Source organism: Homo sapiens, chromosome 18 (assembly GCF_000001405.40).
Source record: "Homo sapiens chromosome 18, GRCh38.p14 Primary Assembly".
NCBI lineage: Eukaryota > Metazoa > Chordata > Mammalia > Primates > Hominidae > Homo > Homo sapiens.
In genome coordinates, this window is record NC_000018.10 from 24,499,558 (window position 1) to 24,523,302 (window position 23,745).

At 43.5% G+C, this 23,745-nt stretch overlaps 1 long non-coding RNA gene and 2 pseudogenes across 3 annotated transcripts, besides 1 other annotated feature; 1 reads left to right on the forward strand and 2 right to left on the reverse strand.

The window, feature by feature from the left end:
* The first annotated feature begins 553 nt into the window (after window positions 1–553).
* LOC105372026 (uncharacterized) lies at window positions 554–8,718 on the forward strand. Of its 3 annotated transcripts, XR_001753371.2 has the most exons (4): window positions 554–1,067; window positions 1,656–1,788; window positions 4,551–5,080; window positions 5,879–8,718. It is a non-coding gene; the product is annotated as an uncharacterized LOC105372026 (long non-coding RNA). The 3 variants fall into 3 exon arrangements; XR_935292.3 differs by having other exon boundaries at window positions 4,551–8,718; XR_935293.3 differs by having other exon boundaries at window positions 554–1,052; window positions 4,551–8,718.
* Window positions 7,307–9,215, reverse strand: LOC646629 (zinc finger protein 470 pseudogene; annotated as a pseudogene).
* Window positions 14,904–15,003: a silencer, noted in NCBI's record as "silent region_9368". NCBI's record gives its function as "represses an Ori minimal core promoter by ATAC-STARR-seq in GM12878 lymphoblastoid cells {active_cell/tissue: GM12878}" and the evidence as "EXISTENCE:reporter gene assay evidence [ECO:0000049][PMID:35858748]".
* EIF4A3P1 (eukaryotic translation initiation factor 4A3 pseudogene 1) lies at window positions 22,517–23,351 on the reverse strand (annotated as a pseudogene).

A 23,745-nucleotide genomic window follows, 5' to 3' on the forward strand; every position in this document is an offset into this window, starting at 1 on the left:
TCAAGCGATTCTCCTGCCTCAACCTTCTGAGTAGCTGGGATTACAGGTGCCCGCCACCATGCCTGGCTAATTTTTGTATTTTCAGTGGACATGGGGTTTCACCATGTTGGCCAGGCTGGTCTCGAACTCCTGACCTCAGGTAATCTGCCTGCTTCGGCCTCTCAAAGTGCTGGGATTACAGATGTGAGCCTCCTCACCAGGCCTAAAAGGTCATTCTTTTAAAAAATATAATTTTATTCTTAAGCTTTTCTGTATTTTCAAATTCTCTGCAAGTTGAAAAAAAGAGAAATGTACATTTACATTATAACTGGGTGAAGGTAGATGGTTGACTCTCATAGGTGTTGGTGCAGAACGGTTAAGAAGGCTCCTTCTGTACCAGAAGTGAGGCCCAAGTAGGAGCTTATTCTGAGTCAGTGGAAATCGTGCAGACCTTCCAGAAGGGAATGATGTAATTGGAAAGCATTTTTGGATACTGCACGGCAGTCGTTTGAAGAAAAAACTGGAGAGATGGGGGATGGAAGCCTGGGAGTCACATTTTTTCAAGCAAGACATCACAGAGGGTGAGGCCCAGTGACAGAGATGACAGATATTCAAAGATGGAATGAAAGAGGTTTGGTGACTGGATATAAGCAACGAAACAGGAAGAATTGAATTTGGGTCTGATATTTCCTGGATGCAAGATCAGGAGGATGTTGGCACCATGGCTTAGTGGGGAAACTGGGGACCGATTCTGGAGGTATACCAGCATGGTGAGTTTGGTTTTAGATGGGTTGTGTTTGACATAGGGCTAGCAATTCTAAGTGAAGATGTCTAAAGAAAGATAGAAGTGACTCAGCTCTGAAGTTCTGAAATGATCAGCCATCAGCGTGGCATGAGGAAGACCTAGGAACAGACAGACTGGGGAGAAGACACAGAGCCAAGCAGGACCTGGCCTGCAGCCCAAACCCTGTGGAATCCCTACATTCAAGGACCAGGTTGAAGTGAAGCCATTGACAGGAACTGAGATGCAGTAGTGTTCTGGAAGTCAAGTGAGGAGGAGGATTGAAGAAGAGGTTGGTCAAAATTCTGTAAGTGAAGTATGGAGTGTGACTAGTATTGCCAGGTAAATTATAGAAAGCCCAGTTCAATTTTAATTTCAGATAAACGATGAAATTTTTTTTAGTGTAAGTGGCATGCAATATTTGGGACATGCTTATGTTGAGGATACCCTAATATTGCATGGGACATACTTATGAATAAAATATTGACAAACAAAATAAAATAATGAATAAAAATTATTTATCTTAAAGTCAAATTTAACTGGGCATCCTGCATTTTTGTTTGTTGAATCTGACAATCCTAACTATGACTCAAATTTAAGGATGTCATTAGTGAACTCGGTAGAGTGTTCCAATGAGCTCGGTTCTCCTGGCCCCCTTTGTACTTATGAGCAAGATGACAGGAGCCTTACAACAGGGGCCTGACTCGATTACTAGTCAACTCCGAGTGCTGTTGCCAGTATGCCTGTCTACATTTCTTTCTCTATTTTGTTGCGTCTTTGCCCCCAATGCCATCATAGCCATTCTGAGTTCATGGCTTCGTTGGTCTTCCTTCTTGGTTTCTAGACCTCATTCAGCCCTGCACAGTCCTCTTTTGTTCCATGTTCCCTGTTCCAGGGGGGTTGCCCAGTGGAAACACCAGACTGCAAAGCTTTGAGAAGTCTGTATGAGATGAACAACTGGAAAAGGTTCTTCGTGAAGAATTTGTGTGGTGAAGAGCTGGAATAGCGGCTTGAGGGAGAGAAGCCAGGTGAGAAAACTCAGGATGTTTGTGTCTTTGGAGGGAAGAGATAAAGGAGAAAGGATGACGAAGCTGGTGGGGGCCTAGCACCTGAGAAGGGTGGAGGCCATGAGGAGAAATGAGTTTTGAAGGAGAGGGGATACCTCTTCCAGACAGCAGGAGAGGAAGCAGGGAGAGCAGGAAGATAAAGATACATTTTGATGGGGAAGAGATAGGTTTTTTTTTTTTGAGACAGAGTCTTTCTCTGTTACCCAGGCTGGAGTGCAGTGACTTGATCTCGGCTCACTGCAAACTCTGCCTCCCAGGTTCAAGCGATTCTCCTGCCTCAGCCTCCCGAGTAGCTGGGATTACAGGCACCCACCACCACGCCTGACTAATTTTGTATTTTTAGTAGAGACAGGGTTTCACCATGTTGGCCAGTCTGGTCTCGAACTCCTGACCCCAAGAGATCCGCCCTCCTCGGCCTTCAAAGTGCTGGGATTACAGGCCTGAGCCACTGTGCTCAACCGGGAAGAGAAAGATTTGAGGAGCCCAAGTGAATTGCTTTTCTCAGTGAAGAGGAAATCAACATTATTGGCTGTGATATTGGGTTGGTGTGGGGTTGGGAGTTTGAAAAAGTGCACGTATTTTTGATTCTTACTAGCTCCATTTCGGAGGTTGAATGTTTCCCCCTGATGTTTGTCTTCAACTTTGGGAAACTTCCTTACACATATAAAATGTATTAACCGTTAGGTATTCATACTTTATTGCCACCTGTGGGTGACTCCCCAGTGCACTTGATGTTGTCCCTTGACAGGAACCAATGAGCATATTTGCAAGTGGGAAGGATCTGTGTGACATTAGGGTCCCCAGTGTCCTCTCTGAACATTTCAGGGCATAATATGAGACCACTGAAAAATATCTGTTATTAAAGCAGACCTAGATTAAGTTCCTTGAAATGTGGTGGTGTCAGCTTATTTTCAAATCCAAAACGGGGCCAGGCGCAGTGGCTCATGCCTGTAATCCCAGCACTTTGGGAGGCCGAGGTGGGCAGATCACCTGAGCTCAGGAGTTTGAGAACAGCCTGGCCAACATGGTAAAATCCCGTATCTACAAAAAAATTCAAAAATTAGCTGGGCGAATTGGCTCATGTCTGAAGTCCCAGCTACTCGGGGGGCTGAGGTGGGAGGATCACTTGAGCTGGAGGAGGTTGTAGTGACACCAACATCGCACCACTGCACTCCAGCCTTTTCTTTTTTTTTTTAAAGGTTAAAATATAAGATTTTATGTTATATATATTTTACTACAATTTTTAAAAATACTGTAATATACCGAACCCATTGAACTGTACACTTTAAATGGGGGAATTGCATGGTTTGTGAATTATATCTCAATAAAGTTGTTGCTCATACCTTAGGGACACTTTTCCTTAACTCTGTATGCAGGCCACAGGCACCATGAAAAACCAGTTCAACTGGAAAAATAATCAAGTGTGAATGATTGGGGGAGGGAGGTAAATACAGCTGAAGAGATTCAGACAATTAACTCGGAACCTCAACATGCTTAAGAGGCTGAAGGCCATGAGCTATGGCAGAGGGAGACTGCATAGTTCAGAATTGCATGAGCCCAGGAGCTGTGCACAGGGTTATTGTACTGGAAGGCTATTTATGCTAGCCTAAAGCTCTTCAGAGACAAGTCACCATGTGTAGCAAATTAAATAGGTTTTGATTTGAGGCTAAGGATGGCCACATTTTGGGTATCAACCTGACCTTTTGCTGGCCTGGAAAACAGCAATATGAATCTGAGTTGAATCAGATGGGTCATTCCATCCTGCTCCTCTGAGTGAGGGTGTGTTTGGAACGGTGGGTGATTGATTTTTTTGAAATGTGCATTTGGAGTTCCAGGAGTGGCCATCCAGAGTGCCCACAATGTCACTGGACGAGACAAAACCATTCATCCATTCAGCAGCCGCACAAAGCAGCCTACACCAAGAAAACAACAATACATCCCCCAAACAGATCCAACAGCTGCTCATCAATCTGGTGCAAGCTGCAGGTTGCCTGACTAAATTACTGTCGAATAGGCAGACGAGCACAATTTGTCAGTCAGCATTGAGTTTAAATGAGCAGAGATGCACATAAAGCCAGCAATGCAATTGTAATTAAGAATTATAGGCATCAAGTTTCAACGAGTGCTTTCTTAAGGTAGCAGTGACCCATCTGTAAGGAGCATATGAGAAATCCAGAGCAGAATTAATCTCAGGGAATGGTCTACCCTCTACATTTTAAGCAATTCTTCATGTATGAAAGCGATGTGTAAATGATGGAGAATCTATGAGAGCTCAGGCTCTAGTTTTCCTATTTGCTTAAGAAAAAATTTATGCAGCCGGGCATGGTGGTTCACACCTGTAATCCCAGCACTTTGGGAGGCCAAGGCAGGCAGACCACTTGAGGTTAGGGGTTCGAGACCAGCCTGGCCAACATGGGGAAATCCTGTCTCTACTAAAATACAAAAATTAGCTGGGCGTGGTGGTGCGTGCCTGTAGTCTCAGCTACTCGAGAGGCTAAGGTGGGAGGATCGCTTGAACCCAGGAGGCGGAGGCTGCAATAAGCTGAGATTGCTCCACTGCACTCCAGCCTGGGTGACAGAGTGAGACTCTGTCTCAAAAAAAATTATATCAGGCATATTAAAGAGTGAATAATAATAACAATAATAATAATAAAGTGAAGTGATGCTTCTGAACGCACCACCCAGATTAAGAAAAATAACATGTTGATTTTTTTTTTTTTTAGATGGAGTCTCACTCTGTCGCCCAGGCTGGAGTACAGTGGTGTGATCCGGGCTGACTGCAAGCTCTGCCTCCCGAGTTCACACCATTCTCCTGCCTCAGTCTCCCGAATAGCTGGGACTACAGGCTCCCACCACCACACCCGGCTAATTTTTTGTACGTTTTTTTTTTTTTAGTAGAGACAGAGTTTCACCGTGTTAGCCAGGATGGTCTTGATCTCCTGACATTGTGATCCACCCGCCTTGGTCTCACAAAGTGCTGGGATTACAGGCGTGAGCCACCGCACCTGGCCATGTTGATTTGTTTTAATGGTAGTTGCAATACTTGTGAGAGTGACATCCACCTGGATGCTGACTTGAATGGAATTTCATAACTGTTGGGTACTGACCATGAGTTGGTGTGGGGACATACAAAGTTGAACAAGACATAGGCTTGCCTCATAGTGTCTACAGCCTGGAAGAGGGAAGAAAGTGACAACACAAATAGTTCTGCATCTTATGAATTCATGGGAAGAGGAGAGGTGTCATAAGACAGGTATGCAGTGCTGCAGAGGTTTGGAGAGGTTGGATCAGGTTGGGGTGTGGAGGGCGGGGAGGGAAGGAGTTCAGAGAACCTTTCCTGAAGAAGGTAGCATCTGAGCGGACATCAAAGGTGAGCAGAAGCTGCGTAAGCTGAGAGAGGGTGGAAAAGAGGGCGTTTCCAGTGGAGGGACTTAGCACAAGCAAAGACAACAAACCCTTGGGCCTGTAAAGGAAACAATAAATTAATTTGTCTAGAATGTGACAGTAGTGGAATATGAGATTCAACGACTGTCCTAGCTCTTTTTGAAAATTTTGCTTTCTACATAGTTACTTAATAGCTCCAATCTGGAAACAACCCAAATGTTCATTAACAGAAGACTGGATAAACAAATTGTGGCATATCCAGACAATAGAATGCTACTGAACAATTAACAAAACTGTAGACACAACATCAACAAACCTAAAAATAATTATGTGTCATGAATGAAACCAGAAAAAAGAATAAATACTTCATGATCTCATTTATAAGAAAATTCTAGATAAGGCACAAACTAAGCTACAGTTAATATGTAGTTTCCAGGGGATTCGTTATCAGTAGTGCAGAGAGAAGAGGATTATAACAGACATGAGGTAATGTGTTGGGTGATAGATATGTTCATTATCATAGCTATAGAGATGGTTTGAAATATATGTACATGAAAAATGTATCAAACTGTATACTTGCAACATGAGTTTTATTGCATGTCAATTATACTGCAATAAGGCGTTTAAAAAAGGGTTCTACATAAAAATACAAATCCACTTATTTTAGAAAACCAGAAGTTTTGGCAACCGTATGCTGATTCTGCCATCTCCAGCCTGATTCCTTGGGAGAGGTTAACCTTCCACAGTGGTGGCAAAAGTCAGCAGGCAATGAAGGCTATTTCCACCTGAGTCACCAGAAAGAATGGCTAGGTCATAAGCCACATGGCTGGACTCTATCTACCTCCCTGTAATCTCCACTCTTTCACCTGTGCCAGCAATGGTTTAGAGATGAACAGACCATAAAGACTATGGAAATCCAATAATCTTTAATGCATTTGCTCTGTCAGTGACATTTGCCATAGGAGAGAGAGAGATTTGGAATTTATAATTTGTACACCCTGATTCTGCACAGCCTTAGTCTCTGACAATGTGTGAATGCATATTTGGAAGGGACACATTCTCCCAGTTTACTGCAATATCCTCGCTCCCTATTAATTACACCCAGTGATTAAGCCCACAATGCCTTTTAAATTTTCCCAGCAAGCCTTGTACAACAATCCAAATCAGGCCAAAAGTAGGAGGAGAGCTATTTTCTTCCTGCCTGCTTTCCCTCTGAGCATACAAATTTGGAGGCCCCATAACAACTGCTCCCCTCTTCATGCTGGCAGAGCCTAATTATTTCTCAACTTATCCCTAAACAAAGAATAGATCACCAAAATACTTCAGATGAAACGTAGAGCAGACAGGTCCTGGGCTGGGAATCCAGGAGACTGATGCAACAAATGCAACAAAGAGCATTAAGAGACTAGCAATGTCCATGAAGAAGGGAACCTAATAAGTAAGCTGCCACAGCTCAAGTCCTCCTGGCCAAAGCCAGGTCATGTCCCTCTATAACCAGCCAGTGAGAAGGGAATGAGGTCCCTAAACGGGTTCGGGGGATTCATGATTCTCTCTGGGGACTGGAGAGAGAGCCTGGAGGTCTCACTTTCTTGAGCACATCGGGGTGACTGATGGACCCTGCCGGGTGGTCAAGGTGAGATGGCTTCTGGCACAGGTATTGGATGTGACATAATCCTTGCGAAGGGCCTAGACAGTTAAGGAAGTGCACCCTACCTCCTGAAAGCTCCCTCCATACCTGGCACTAAAAGGTATTATCACCAGTTCAGATATTTTGATATATATGGTTCGCTTCTGTCTGATGACTCCCTGCAAAAAGGCTACCCTCCAAGCTACCCTCTAGGGTGAGTCATTAGACAGAACAAGGATATAACACATCCCCTGCTCTCCTAAGGAAATTCTCTCAGTGTGAATTTTCTTGTGCTGAATGAACAAAGATTTTTTTTTGTTTGTTTGTTTTTTTTGGTTTGTTTTTAGACAGTCTCAGTCTGTCACCCAGGCTGGAGTGCAGTGGCACGATCTTGGCTTACTGCAACCTCTGCCTCTGGGGTTCAAGTGATTCTTGTGCCTCAGCCTCCCGAGTAGCTGGGATTACAGGCACCTGCCACCACGCCCAGCTAATTTTTTTTTTTTTGTATTTTTTGTAGAGATGGGGTTTTGCCATGTTGGTCAGGCTGGTCTTGAACCCCTGACCTCAAGTGATCCTCCCGCCTTGGCCTCCCAGAGTGCTGGGATTACAGACATGAGCCACTGCGCCTGGCCTCAATGAGTAAATGTTTTGCTAAAAAATTTCCCACACTGCCTCAGCATAAAGCCTTACTTCAGTGTCAACTTTTGGTGCTGAACAAGGCACTCCTTGGCTGAAACCTTCCCACATTCTATGCATTCATAAGGCTTTTGCAGGGTGAACTTTCTGGTGCTGAGCAAGGTTAGAGGGACAGCCAAAGGCTCTCTCACATTGTCCCCACTCATAAAACCTTTCTGTGTTGTGAACTTTCTGGTGCCCTGCAAGGTGGACATTTCTGCTGTAGGATTTCCCACACCTGCTGTACACATAAGGGCTTGCTCCAGAGTGAAGTCTCTGGTGGTGAACAAGGCTGGAGCTCTGGCTAAAGGATTTCCCACATTCTTTGCACTCATAAGGACTTTCTCCAATATGGGTTCTTTGATGTTGACCAAGTCCATATTTGGAGCTCAAAGATTTCTTACGCAATGTAAATTAGTATAACCACTATGGAGAACAGTTTGGAGGTTCCTCAAAAAACTAAAAATAGAGCTACCATATGACCCATCAATCTGACTTCTAGTTATATACCCCAAAGAAAAGAAATCAGTACATTGAAGAGATATCTGCCCTCCCATCTTTGTTGCAGCACTATTCACAATAGCCAAGATTTGGAAGTAACCCAAATGTCCATCAACAGACAAATGGATAAAGAAAATGTGGTGCATATACACAATGGAGTAGTATTCAGCCATAAAAAAGAATGAGATCTTGTCATCTGCAACAACATGGATGGAACTGGAGGTCCTTAAGGTTAAGCAAAATAATCCAGGCACAGAAAGAAAACATTGCATGTTCTCATCTATTTGTGAGAACTAAAAATTAAAACAATTGAACTCATGGAGATAGAGAGTAGAAGGATGGTTACCAGAGGCTGGGAAGGGTAGTGAGGGCGAGTGAGGGGGAAGTGGGGTGTTTAATGTGTCCAAAAAATGGTCAGAAACAATGAATAAAGTCTAATATATGACAGCAAAAGAGTGTGACTATAGTCAATAATAATCGAATGGTACATTTAAAAATAACTAAAAGTGTATATTTGGATTGTTTGTAACATAAAGGATAAATGCTTGAGGTGATGGATACCCCATTTACCCTGATGTGATTGTTACACATTGTATGCCTGTATCAAAGTATCCATATACCCCATGAATAAATGTATATACCTACTATGCACCTACAAAAATTAAAATAATAAAAAAAAGGATTCCCCATATTTGCTACACTCATATGGCTTTTCTCCAGTGTGAACTTTTGTGTTGAACAAAGTAAGCGTTTCTGCTGTAGGTCTTCCTACACTGGCTGCGCTCAAGGCCCTTCTCCCATGTGAGCTTACTTGTGCTGAATGAGATTGGAACTTCTTGTGCAGGTTTTCTCACATTCAGTGCACACATAAGGCTTTTCTCCAGTGTGAATTATCTGGTGCTGGCCAGGAGTGTCTTTAGGACTGAATGCTTCTCCATAGTCAATGCATTTGAAATGTCCTTGTTGAGTATGAAACATGTCCCCATACATGGCACTCCTGCATGGCTTCTCATTGTGAATTGCTTGGTGCTGGAAGAGGCCAGAGCTGACCAGGTAGCCTTTTCCAACCTTGCTGCATGGAAATGGCATCTCTTGAGTGTGAACTCTGTGGCTCTTCAACAAGATGGCCCTGCCCTTGTTTTTTTCAGAAAGGTCTCTCTCCACTGTGCCCCTTCTGGGGCTGATGAAGATTTGCACTGAAATTAAAGCTTCTCCCTCATGGTCCACACATGTACAGTTTCTGTGTAGGGTGTGTTCCACGGTGCTCAGCTGGCTGTAGCATGTCTTTTGGGACCCAGCCACCCACATCACAATGGAGGGCCTTCTGAGTGGAAGCACCTGCCTTGGGAGACCTGACCCGACTTGCTTAGAAGTTACCTCCTCAACCTCTATTCCATGCCCACACTCCTCTGCAAATGGTTTTAGCTAGTCCTTGGATGTTGGTGACATTAGGTGTCTCCAGTCTCAGGAAAAACAAACTGCAACAGAGGCACTGGTGTCAGGGATGTTTAAGGGTATGTATACCTCACATAACACATTAAATGCAGGCCAACAGTGAAGAGTAATGCCCAGATGGGGTCGTGCCTGTACCGTCAGGCACCCAGGACTCCTGGACCTGCTCCACTTAGGCAACTCCGTGGGATCTGAAAGATGCAAGTCTTCGGGGGGAAAGACAGTGCTGGAGAATAGCCATCCCCTGCCCAGGGCAGCCCTGCAAGGCCACAATTACAAAGTTCTCGTGCATCACATGGCAGTGCAGGAGTCTCTGAGCCTCATCAAGGAGTCTCCACTCCTCCTCCTCCTTCACCCCCACAATCTGTTCTCCACTCTGAATTCTGGGAGGTTCTGTTATGTTAATAAATGAGTTAGATCACTTCCCTCATCTTTGGATTTGGGGCTTCCCAAATCCAAAGCCCCACAACTCAGAATAGAGGCCCAAATGCTCACCCTGCAGTTCCGGCCTGAGTCCTGCCTCACTACACTCCTGTTCCACAAGACAGAAAGGAGATTGTAGTCTAGGAACACTTCCAACTGTTTCACCCCCAAGCATTTGCAGACACTGGTTCCTGCTCCAGGGACAACCTTTGACCCCATGGTGCTCTGGTTGCCAGAAATATGAACTGAGCACAATAAGCCTTAGACTGGGAGGTCACTCTCTATATTAGTTTGTTCTCACACTGCTAATAAAGACATACCTGAGACTGGATAATTTATAAAGGAAAGAAGTTTAATTGACTCACAGTTCAGCATGGCTGGGGAGGCCTCAGGAAACTTACAATCATGGTGGAAGGGGAAGCAAGCATGTCCTTCTTTACACGGTGGCAGGAAGGAGAAGAATGACTGCCCAGCAAAGGTGGAAGCCCCTTATAAAACTGTCAAATCTCATGAGAACTAACTCACTATAACGAGAACAGGATGGGGGGAACCACCCCCATAATGCAATTATCTCCACCTGGTCCCACTCATGACATGTGGGATTATGGGAACTACAATTCAAGATGAGATTTGGGTGGGGACACAGCCAAGCCATATCACTCTCCCTTATATAGGGATGGAGAGATCATGTGGCTGGGGTTCTGGGTGGATGTGGGTCTGGGGCACAATCCACTCACTTGTGAGTCCATCTGCAATGCCACCAGTTGGACTCTATGAAATGAGTGGGACTCAGAGGTGAAAACAGGGTGGATCCCTCGGGCTCATTCCACTGATTACTCCCACCCTTCCTGGGCAAGTGACCTCCACTGAGTGTTGTTCCCTGAGCCTCTGTCCTCCCTGTGTAAAATGAACAAAAGGATTAGGGATCCTGTTTCTGGATACCATGGAAACAGAGGTTGTGTGCAGAGGCCCTGGGAGGCATGGGCCTGGCTGGGATCATGGCTCCTACTAAGGCACAGAGAGGGTCCTGCTCTCTTCCTGATTCTACTGAGCTCATTTTATGTATTTGTGTATTTATTTTTATTTTTTTGAGACAGAGGTCTCATCCAGGCTGGAGCGCAGTGGCATGATCATGGCTCACTGCAGCCTCGACCTTCCAGGCTCAAGCTACCCTCCTGCCTCAGCCTCCCAAGTAGCTGGGACAAAAAGCATGCATGACACCTGGCAAATTTTTAAAAAAAATTTTTTGTAGAGATGGGCGGGGGGTGGGGGGCAGTCTTAGTTGCTCCCTCATTTCTACAAAGAATAAAAAAATTAGCCACACGTGGTCTCAGCCTATGTTGCTCAGACTGGTCTTGAACTCCTGAGCTCAAGCAATCCTCCCACCTCAGCCTCCCAAAGTGCTGGGATAACAGGCATGAGCCACTGGGCCTGGCCCTGAGCTCACTTCTTTTAAGATTCTCACTTCACTGGAAAACATTCCATCCACAAAGGGCTAACTTTCCTTATTACCTAAAGACTCAGGTCGAACACACCCAGACTCAATCCTATATAGGAGGGTGTGAGAGGAGAAAATGGTTGGTTTTGGCCATTCATTATCCATTCTGTCTTCTGAACAGTACCCCACATTTATTTGGGCAAATACCTCTTCGCCAATATGAGCCTATGCAATATGCTAAGGGGTTGGCTCCAGTTTTATCTTCTAGTCATAGTTGATTGGTTCATTTAAAGCCAAGTGATCTGATTAGGCCCCATGAGAGCAAGATCCAGGGCTTTGGAGACTGTTAAGGAAGCTGAACAACCCCAGCTGGTTATAAAGCTGAGGGAAGGTAAAGGCTAGAGCTACTGCAGCCACCTTGTGATCATGGGAAGACCCTGGCTCAGAATGAAGTCAACACATTGAGGTGCGGGTCAAAAGTCAAAGTATTTAATAAGGATATGCCACAGGCACTAATCAGTCAGAGTGTACACAAGCTGGTATGCTGTCCTGGGACTCTGCCTGTAGGAACTCATAGCTTTTGAAAAAAAAAGTTTTATTCATGATGTATTATCTCAAATAAAAATACTATCATGTAATGATATACCTATAATTTTTATTTGTACATAACCTTGCCATATTGCTCCTAAAATATTTACAATAATTTCTTAATATTATCTAAAACTAAGATTATCTTCAGTTTTCCCCATTTGTTTCAAAAAATTTTAAAAAAATAGTTTGTTTGCTTGAATCAAGATTTAAACAAAGTTACGGTATTTTATTGCTAATAAAAAGGACTCCTTATTCTGGAAACTGTTAGAAACAACAGTTTCTAACATGCATGAAGTTATGGGTTCAAATCTTTGCTCCTCCATTAGCTGTGCTCTCAGATAATCCACCTAACCTTTTAACTTGCCTCAGTAATACCTAACTCAGAAAGTTGTTGGGAAGATTTTGTGAAATGGTGTATGCATAGAACAAAATCATCAGTCTGTGTGAGTAAATAAGGTTACTTTGCTTGGTGGTTAATTTTTCTGTAAACTTGACTGGGCCATGGGATGTCCAGATATTTGGACAGACACTATTCTGGGTGTTTTTTTTTTTTTTTTTGACAGAGTCTTGCTCTGTTGCCCAGGTTGGAGTGCAGTGGTGCGATCTCAGCTCATTGCAACCTCTGCCTCCCAGGTTCAAGCAATTCTCATGCCTCAGCCTCCCAAGTAGCTGGGATTATAGGCATGTATCACGACACCCGGCTAATTTTTGTATTTTTGGTAGAGACAGGGTTTCACCACGTTGGCCAGGCTGGTCTCAAACTCCCAGCCTTATGTGATCTGTCCACCTTGGCCTCCCAAAGTGCTAGGCTTGCAGGCATTAGCCACCATACCCAGCCCTGGATACTTTTTTTTTTTTTTTTTTTTTTTTTAGATAGAATCTTACTCAGTCTCCCAGGCTGGAGTGCAGTGGCACAATCTTGGCTCACTGCAACCTCCGCCTCCCAGGTTCAAGTGATTCTCCTTCCTTAGCCTCCCAAGTAGCTGGGATTACAGGTGTGCACCACCATGCCCAGCTAATTTTTTGTATTTTTAGTAGACACGGGGTTTTGCCATGTTGGCCAGATTGGTCTCAAACTCCTGACCTTAGGTGATCTGCCCACCTCGACCTCTCAAAGTGCTGGGATTACAGGCGTGAGCCACCATGCCTGGCCTAGGTACGTGTATGAGGGCGTTTTGGATGAGATTAACATTTAAGTCAGACTAAGTAAAGCAATTTATGCTTCCTGATGTGGGTGGGCCTCATCTAATCAGTAAAAGGCCTGAATAGACCAAAAAGCTGATCCTTTCCCAAGAAAGAGAGGACTCTCCCTGCCTGATGGCCTTTGAACTGGAAATCAGCTTTTTCCTGCTTTAAGACATGAACTGAAACATTGACTCTTCCTAGGTCTTAAGTGCACCAGCCTTTGGACCAGAACTACATCATCGGCTCTCCTGGTTCTCTAACTTGCCTACTCACCCTGAAGATCATGGGACCTGCTAGTCCCCACAGTTGGGCGAGCCAATTCCTTGTAATAAATCTCTTTATTGGAGATGTATATATATATGTGTGTGTGTGTGTGTGTGTGTGTGTGTGTGTTAGATTTCTCTGGGGAACCCCTCAGACTTTGTAATAAATGCCCACATTTCTTTGGCCAGTTGTCCCCATCTGTCTAATTCTAGGACATCAGTCCTCCACACTTTCCTTAGTCTTCCACCATTATTTATGAGCTTCCTAAGGGAGTTATCTCACACATGTGCTTGTGAAGTCTTCTCTAAGCCCTCCACTCATTGCTGACTGCTTTCTGGCAAATTAAGACCTGACTCTAGGTGTTCCTGCTTTATTCCTGCTACCCAGAAGTCACAAAATCCCTATTCCTGAAGACTTACCATTTACCTCTTGTATTTCACAAAGTCACTCAAGAAAACAGCACTTTTCATTTCTTTCTACAGTGTTGGGCTCGAACCTGGTCTTATAGGCTAGGCTCAACGCTGAGCCTCTATGTCCATGTTCATTTTGCATTCTCTTCATCTCTGCTTTCCTGAAGGCTCCATTCCTCCAGACAAAAAGATCCTTGGGCCTGCTTGGTGGGCTGCCAGACCCTTAATTCCCATTTCAGTTCAATTGTGACCCTGACTCAAATCCCTTACATAGTTGGAACTCAATGTATACATTAGTTCTCTTTCCCTTAGGTTTAGAAGTGAGGTGAATTGCAACCGTAGAAGAGGCAGTATCAAGACAAGAATATAGCCATTCCTGCTCCTCTTAGGAGTATGTTCAAGAACTAGATCTGGTTATCCAGCCCAAGGAATATTTTATTTTCTGAATGTTCTGAGCATATTTTTGGATAGAATCCTCTAACTCTATGAATGTGATGTAACTGTTTTATGCCATTCTATTTCCAAAGTGAATCGTTAGTGATATTTAAAATATAAAGGTAGGCTTGACCATAGGAAAATGTTTTTGTAGGTAAAAAGTGGTCAAATCTTGTCAATCTCATGTGGCTCAATCTAACACAGAATCATTTGTAAGTGGGCTATTTAATTCTGTCATTTCTATGAAGAAAATGAACTGGGTGGATTGGAAGCCAAATTTGTATCTAGATGCTAATTTAGGCCCTTGAGTCTTCCCTTCCCCTACTCCATAGCTCCCCCCACTTCCCATTTTCCTCATGCCATAATGCTGCTTTCTGAAAACCATACACAGTCATCTAATCTAAGCTCGCTCTACCCACAGGGGTCTGAGTTCTCACAACCCACTTCACCTCTCCTTAATAGGTCAACCTTGGTCTTGGGAGGATAGTGATCTGATTGGCTCTTCTGGCTTTCTTGCACTGAGGATGTGAATGACTGATAGCTTTGTTTAATGTTTAGTGGTATTATTAGTGTTATTCACAAATAATTTGATTCTCCTCTTCTCCTAGACATATGGTTGGTCATTTCTCTGTTTTTTTATTTTTATTTTTTGCTTTCCTTTTGAAGCTAGATGTAGTCATGTGCCTTGCTTTAGTCAATGAAATGCGACTGGAAATGACACATACCACTCCTGGGGGTAAGCTTTAAGTGTGCAATTTGTAATACTTCCTTTCACCACTAGGGGTTGTTGTGAAAGTGCATGCTAAAATGATGCCTCTGTGGGCCTGGATTACTGAGTGACTAATCTGAGCAGAATCCCATGCCAACTCATCATTCCCGTCTCAGCCAATGAGGCTCAATAGATGGGAGGGGATAGTCTAATCCACACAGGGATTCAGAAACCCAAGATCCTTCTACTGAGTGATTTCCTTAGGGCAGAGTTTGGGAAACTACAGCTCATGGGCCAAATCTAGCCTGTTTTATTGGAACACAGCCACACTCATTCATTTACATATTACCAAGGGCTGCTTTCCTGCTCCAGCAGCACAGTTGAGCCGTCATAATGGAGATGGTATAGCTCCCAAAGCCTAAAATATTTACCATCCAGCCCTTTATAGAAAATGTTTGCTGGATTTTGCCCTAGGGCCTTGGAGTTTCCCCCTGGGTACTCTGAATCCAGCTGGCAGGTGAAGGAAGAGAGAGAGAACAAGGAGGTTTGCATGAAAGGTTTTGGAGCCCAGTCCTGAAAGTGGCATTTGACAAAGACACTCTCCTTTGACCCAAACTTGAATCAGTCTCCTCTGAGTCCTCTGCTCGACTAGGCGCAACCTCGGGCTTCCCTCTCTGTCCTTGTGGAATCTAGTTTAAACAAGAATCCTGCCAAGTCAGCTTAACGAAAGTCCCCCACCCTTGGTATCTGACCACCCTCAATATCTTATCATCCTGGCCTGCCTTCAGCAAGAATTCTGTTGAGTTGCTCTAACAAGAATTTTCCTTACCTCTGATGTTTTCTCTTAGTAACTTTGCATTCTGCTGGCTCCCATCCTGCTCCTTGGCTGTAAATTCCCACTTGCCCATCCTGTATTCAGAGTGGAGCCCAATCTCTCTCTCCCACTGCAATGGTCTCTACACCTATCTTGATGGTTCCCACCTTGAATAGAGTCTTCCTTACCATCTTGATCAAGTATCATGATTAATTTTTTTCTTTAACAAGTATATCACTTTGATCCATGTTCCAGTGGCCAGAACTCAGTCACCAGCCACATGTCTTGGCAAGGGAGGCTGAGATATATAGTCTAGCTGTGTATCTAGGAGGAAAAGGCAGAAGGTTTGGTGAACAATCACTGCCACATCTGCCTACGTGTGTGCTTCAGCAGAAGTGTTCCTTCCAGTCAACCCTGGTTGGGGCAATAACTGTTGAAAATTAGGAACATTTCCTCTGCTGTCCCTCTAAGCTCCCTTGCTCTGATCAACTGTGGTTCTTCAATGCTCTGCTCACACAGTGATTATCCACACACATCAGTCTGCAGGGAGTAGTAGCGTTGGGTAGGGTCTAGCTGAATCACAGACTTCACTCTGTTCTGGGGCATGCACCATTGTTAGAGCAAGTTCTGCATCAGAGTGCAAGAAATTCTGGCCTGGAACTGGCAATGTTTTGATCTCATACTCGGAATGCAGAACATAATGGTATCAATCTCTGAAAATCAAATGAAATCTTGTGGGAGTAGGATAGGCACAATGAATAAAATTATATAAAACAATTTCATACTTGACATTTACTGAGAGAGGCTTAATTTTTCCTACATATTTTAGTCTGTTCAGCTGGTATTATTTAGTCATATCTCTTTCCCCATTTGGTTCACAACTTATCTTTTGGGAGCCCAGAATTAAACTGTAAAAATGTATATATGCTAGACACTGTTTTATGTTCCATCAATGGAGAAGTCATCAAAATCTCTAACAGAATAAGATTCAGCCTATTACAGGGGTGATTTAGCTGAAATAAAATGTAATGCTTAACTCGGAGAAGCTGGAAAAAAATGAGATTTAGGAATATGGAATTGAATAATCAGTTGGTGAAATGACAGTGGTTTCTTTGTCAATCTCCCAGTTGAGAGAATATTAGGACATCAAGATTATGAAAGACCAGACCCAAATAAGGATACACGATGGCTCAGCAGGACAAGACTGGCTTCTGATTCCAACGACAACAGATAGTTCCCTAACACTGACAGAATTGAAGAAAGAAATCCAGTGTCCTGTGTCAATTCCTTTGGTTGGACAATCATATGTTATGGTGGGGAAATAATTCATGTACACCAAATTAAAAAAAAACAAAAACAAACCTTAAAGAACGTGGCAGTTTTCTGACAAAGACCACTGTGACTAAACATTTACTCAGATATTTCATAAGATGCGGGGAAGTTCATGCACAAATACATGGATGAGAATCCTATGAGAGACAATGTTTGGGGAGGGAAGCTTAAAAAGGAAAGTCCGTAGAGTGAATGGGAAAAGCAAAGGTGAGAGTAATAGGTTCCTAGTGCTTCTATAACAAAGTAGCACAAATGGAGTGGCTTAAAACTACAGAAGTTTATTATATTGCAGTTCCAGAGGATAGAGGCCTGAAATGATGATGTCAGCATGGCTGTGTTCTCTCTAGATGATCTAGGGGAGGAGACCATAGGTGGTTGCTGGCAATCCTTGGCATTTTTTGCTTGCAGACACGTCACTCCAATCTCTCAGCTGTCACATGGTCCTCTGTGTGTGTGTGTGTGTGTGTGTGTGTGTGTGTGTGTGCGCGCGCGCGCTTGCGCGCACATGCATCTATTCTCTTCTTAGAAGGACCCTGGTCATCTTCGATTAGGGTTCATCCAAATCCAGTATGATTACATCCACAAAAACTCTATTTCCGGATAGGGTCACATACACAGGTACTGGAGATTAGGGACTCAACATATCTTTTTGGAGGACACAGTTCAACCTGCAACAGTCAGTCTCTGAAGTCTTCTATGATGGTGTCGTGAGGTTGGCAGAACAGCCCTCAGGGAGGGAGGAGCTGCCCAGCACCACTATACAACATGCAAAACAAGGGCAAAGATGGATTGTCAGTAGAAATGATAATGGCAATAACAATGAACTTATCAAATACTTAGGATGTGCCAGTTTTTCTAAGAACTTTATAAGTGCTATCTTACTTAATTCTCAGGCTGATCCTATGATGCAGGTACTTTAGCCCAATTTTACAGATAAGGAAGTTGATTGAGGTGATGCAGGATTTTTCTCGACCCCTTCTCGGGACTCAAGGCAGGACTGCCCCCTCTATTTGGCCCCACTGCGCTCAACTCTGTGGGAGGGAGCATGTGAACAAGCAACTGCGGGATCCAGCCAGCCACCCCAGGGGCCAACACAGGAACAAGCTCCATGCAGGGCCTGCAGCCAGACCAGGAATGTCGCCTGGAGGGCAATGCGGCAGCACCCAGGTGAGGGTGCCTGTGACCCCAAAGCCCCACAGTGGATGTTAAAGTGCTCCTTTAGTTCCGCTGTCCATGGACAGTGGTTTGTTAGCAGCTCGGTTGGCCCCTTGCCTCCTCATGTGGGGCTGCTGCCCTCCCCACCACAAGCACAAAGGTGTGACAACTTTTCTGATTACCTGCACTGGGTGGGTCTCGAGCTCTTGTCCAGTGTCCATGAAGAATGGGGTCACATGGAAGGTTGAAGGGTGGTGAAAGTGGAGAATTTTATTGAGTGATGAAAATGGTTCTCAGTGGAGAGGGGAGCTGGAGAGGGAACAGAAAGGGCAGGTCATTTTCCCCAAAGTCAGGTCGTCTCTCCTTTACCAACTGAGTCTGGGATCTTTATAGGTACAGGATGGGGAGTGCCTGCTGATGGTTTCTGAGGACGCAGAAAAGGTTAAAGTGAAAACGCCACTCAAAGCTGGGCACAACGATGTAGAAAACCAATTAGGAAAGGGTAGTATATGTAAAACAGGTGAAGGGTGGGGACCAATCAGAGGAAAGCGTGCCAAACAGGAGGACAAGTTCTCAATCCAGTCTGAGAATTTAACCTGTAGCTTGGCCTTCAGGCTTTAAACTGTCTTCGTCTTCAGCTTGGAGGTGGGGTTTCACTGGGACCCAATGCCTGGGCGTTTGGCTGCCTCCTGTCGCTATCAGAGGCATAGAGAGCCAAAGGTGGAATTGAGAAAAATTGAGAAAGATCTCAGGTGAATTGAGAAAGATCTCAGGTGAAGCCTGAGCAGATTCAGCTGCTCGCCTAGAGCAGCTTGGGATACTAGGAAAGCTGCCTTGACGGAAGCTTTCCTCCCTTTTGAAATCACCTACATACTTGTGCTTCAGGTGTGGGGATGGGCTGCTGCTGTTCCACGCTGCCATCGCCACCGGGACCCAACATCTCTTCCTGAAGTCCGTGATGCAGGATTTTCACTCCACCGCTTGCGAACAGCCCCACACCCAGCGCCCTCCCGCACACACCGTCTTGGGGCCTCCTCCAGCGCAGTGCACTCCTGCTGCCACGGTACGTCCTGCCGGGGAGAATTACAAACTTCTCCAAGAGGCTTCTATTCTTTCTCCACCTTCTTTAAGGGAAGGGGTAAGGAGTGAGCACTCACTTTAGTGTTTAAGGCCCTAAATGACCAGTTGTTTCCCAAAATACTCTTTAATTGAGAAGAAGGAAGAGAGCCTCAAGGTGAAAGTGTATTTCCATTGGAAGGGTTTTAATTTTCATCTCTCCTGAGGTGCCTGGGAAGCAAAGAGGATCACAGTTTTCCATGCAGAAGCCAAGGACAAGGAAACTAGCTTTTTGCTTTACTGTGTGTGTGTGTGCGTGTGCACGCATACGGGGCTGGGAAGAGGGAGGGAGCATTCAGTCAATCTCATTTGTCTTTGATGTCACATGACCCCCTGGCCCCCTCCACCCCCCGGTTTGTTTTTCTTTAATCTTTTAATTTTGACTTGCAGAAAAGTGGTAACAATAGTAGAAGAAATTCCCATGTACTTTTAAATGTAGATTTATCAATTATTTGTATTTTTTCCTATTTGCTTTATATCGTTCCTGCTCTCTCTGTCACTCTCTGTATGAAAACACCATGTCCCTTTACCCCAGAATACTTGAGATGGACATTGGCTTACTTAGGAATGAAACAATGATCAAAGTGAGGAAATTGAACATTGATACAATATTATTGTCTAATCCACTATTCGTATTCAAATTTCATCCATTGTTCCAGTCAGTAAGGTATCTCAAAATTATAGCTATTTTTTTTCTTGGTCTAAGACCTAATGCAGCATCAAACGTTGCATATAATTGTTGTGTTTCTTAGGTTGCCTTTAATCAGGAAAAATTCCCTATCCTTTCTTCGTCTTCCTTTGCCTTGACATTTTTGAAGGTGACAGGCCAGTTAGTTCGTAGAATGTTCTTCAGTATGGTTTTGTCTGATTATATCCAGGTTATACATTTTTGGCAGAAGTACCAGAGAAGTAATATGCTTCTCTACGCATCATATCAGGCTGTCTTATTTCAAATAATGAGTCCGATAATTTGGTAGATGATGTCTCATTAGTAGTGATGACTTTGATAACTTGGGTAAGGTTTTCCCACTCTAAACCTATTTTTTTTCCCTTTACATATATTATAAATTGTTAGTTTTTCTTTATAGGGTTGGGGTCTTGCTTGCTGTCTTGCCCAGGCTGGAGTGCAGTGGCCTGATTGTAACTCACTGCAGCCTTGAGCTTCTGAACTCAAGTGATCCTCCCACCTCAGCCTCCCAAGTAGCTGGAATTACAGGTGTGAGCCACAGCACCCGACTCTTCCCTTTATAATTAATTAGACACTTGTTGGTAGATATTTTGAGACCTTATAAATGTGCTATTTTTCTTCAAACTATGACCACTATTTTTTTGCATCATTGATGCTTTTATAACTCCATCATTCCTTCCGTATTTATTAGTTGGCCTTCTACTATTTAAAAGAAGAGCCTTTTCTCTCTCATCAGTATGACATTTTTAGAGTTTTATTTTATTTAAAGGGTTTTCATCCATTATTATCATTATTTATTTTGATGCTCAAATTGTCCCAGATTTGGCCAGGGCGAGTCCCTTCAAGTTTGTCTCTGTGTTCTTTTGACATGTCCTCATTATTGAGCACCTCCTTACTTTCTGGCACAAGAAAATATTCCAGGCCCATCTTTTACTTTCTCTGACTGAGTCCGGGAATCAGATTTTCTTCAAGGAGCCCTAGTTCCTTGTAGTGGAGAATGCTGTTCAGAATCAAGATCTGGGCTCCAATCTTGTGTCTGAGTTTAGCCATGAAATCAGTCTACTTCTGGTCAACGTGAATGTTTGAATTCTTTCTCTTCTTAAAGGAGTCCAACCATTGTCCTGCCCTTTCAGGAGTTACGCATAAATCTTCTGGAGGCCTGTTGGTCATGGGGTTTCTCTGACCTTCCGCTGCCGCCAATTCATTCCCTCTTCTCTAGGAAAGACAGCCTTCCTGGGGCATCAGCACAAAGTCTGTAAAGTCCCCAAGGCTTCCTGCTGGTGTGGGCTTCAAAGGCTTGAAGGATATCCCAGTGGCAGAGTAAAGGAGGAATTAATGCAAACAAAACCTCAAGCCATATGACAGAATCTCAAACTGTTGGGCAAAAATGGATGCAGAGAAGCTGCTAGAGAAGGTGTTATTAGGAGAGTTTCTCTCCCTGTTTTGAAGTCACAGTCTTGAATTGAAAAGCAAATTCTCTTGTGCAAAATACCTAATATTTCTTAAGGATTGACTATGTCCCAGACTGTGAGCTGTGCATGTGACACAAAGGATCTCATTTAATCCATGCAATGACATTCCACAGAGGATCTCCTGCATCCCCAGGGAGGCCCAGAGAAACGAAGTTGAAAATGATGGAATTGGGATATGTATCCCAGTAGACTGACTCCTGAAACTGTTATACTGCTGGACTCGCAGTCCCACGCAGAGGGCATGATGAGGAAAAGGTGGGCACCAATCTTTCCAGCACTGAGAGGGAGATGAAATGAAATCACTTCTGGTAGGATCCTATTAGAAGACAGAAAACCATTGTGTGTGCAATGTATCATGAAGCCCTAGAAAGAGGTTTCTCTGAGTCAGTCATTAGTAAATAAGGGATCCAGGGTTTGTGAGCAAGAGCATCCAGATTTTAATTGTTATTAACCATTTTTGATACTATAGTAAAAATACATCCCCATCTTGGGAAAATTGAAAACTATGAAAAAGTACAGAGGAAAAGAGATGTTCTGTAATCCCACTGCACTGAGATAATTATTAACATTTTAACATGCTTCCTGTGTGTATTTCTGTGTAGTTGAGATCATAGCATATAAGATTATCTGCGTTGATTTTTTTCACTAAATTTTATCACATAACCACATCCCCAGGTTGTTAAAAGCTGTTCATAAACATAGTTTTTAATAGCTGCATAGTATTTCATTTCACGCATGTAATATTATTTTATTCCTTTAATATTGGGTATTTATGTTGTTGCTACTTCCTCATTATTAAAACAAAACAAAAAGAACTAAAAACTATTGTGGTGAATGTATATGTACTTTCTGTATTTTGGTTTATTTTCTTAAAATTGAGTCTTAGAAATAATCTTCCTGCATTGAAGTATGGATATTCTATTTTTGTTATTTAAAAATAATTTAATAATTTGAATAATTCTAATTACTATTATTTTTATGGGAAAAGTTTTAAATGTTTAGTGAGAAAGACTTGGAGCAATGCATTAATTACATATGGATAAGAAGACATGGCAGGATCTCCAGAGCTTTTCCTGGGGTGTATGGTGGGGAGCTATGTAAAGATAGTCCACATAAACCCCACTAAATAGAAGCTGCTCCTAAATATTTCCAAACAGGAGCCCAAAATAGATGAACAGTCTCCAACTCATCTTTAGAGTAGTGGAACTGCTTCTTCAGATCAGATCAGTGATGTTCATAGACATTGCTTCTGTCTGAGTGGAATAGTACTGTTCAATGTCTCTCAGGATGCAGATGTTGGTCATTCTTTACAAAGTTAATGGCCACAGCCTTCCAGCCATATCGACCTGATCTCCAAATTCTGTGTGAGTACAATTCTGTTTTTTGGGCAGGTCATAGTTAATGATGACGGACACCTGAGGGACATCTGACCTCCCGGCCCAGACATCTGTGGAAATGAGCCCTGTGCTGGTGCCGGATGGGAACTCCTTACTGACGGACTGTGGCCCTTTCTGAGGTGTGTCTCTGTGCATCGAGGACACGGTGAGAGCAGCATCTCTCATTTTCTCCATCAGCCAGTCAACTTTCCTTTTGGTGTTACAGAAGATGACCACCTGAATAACAGTTAGCATTTCGTAGAGATCACATGGGATGTCGAATTTCCACTCTTCTCTTTCCACTGCCACAAAAGGCTGTTTGATGCCTTCCAGAGTCAATTCACCAAGATGTGGATTGGGTCCATCATGTACTTGTTGGTCATCTCTAGGATTTCGCGAGGCAGTGTAACACTGATGAGAACTACTTGTGTGACTGGAGGCAAGTACCTGAACATGTCGCAAATCTGATCTTTGAAAATTAAGTTTACTTGTTTATTATAAAGGATATTGCAAAGGATACAGATGAAGAGATGTGTAGGGCAAGGTAGTGGGGAAGGCGCTGGGAGCTTCCAAGCCCTCCTGAGTGGACCACTCTCCAGGAACCTCCATGTGTTAAGCTATCAGGAAGCTCCCTAATTATTTTCAATAAGTAATACAAACATGTATAAAACACAAATTCAAAAGATACATAAGGTTATACAGTGAAACCAAGTCTTCCCACTCTACCTTCCAGCCACCAAGAGTCCAGCTTCAGTTTCTTGCTTTTCCTTTCAGAGAAATCCTTTGCATTATGAGCACATGCATCTGGCAGATCATTCTGTGTCACAGCGTAAAGACATGCTTTATTATTTATTATTTTTATGTCACCCAG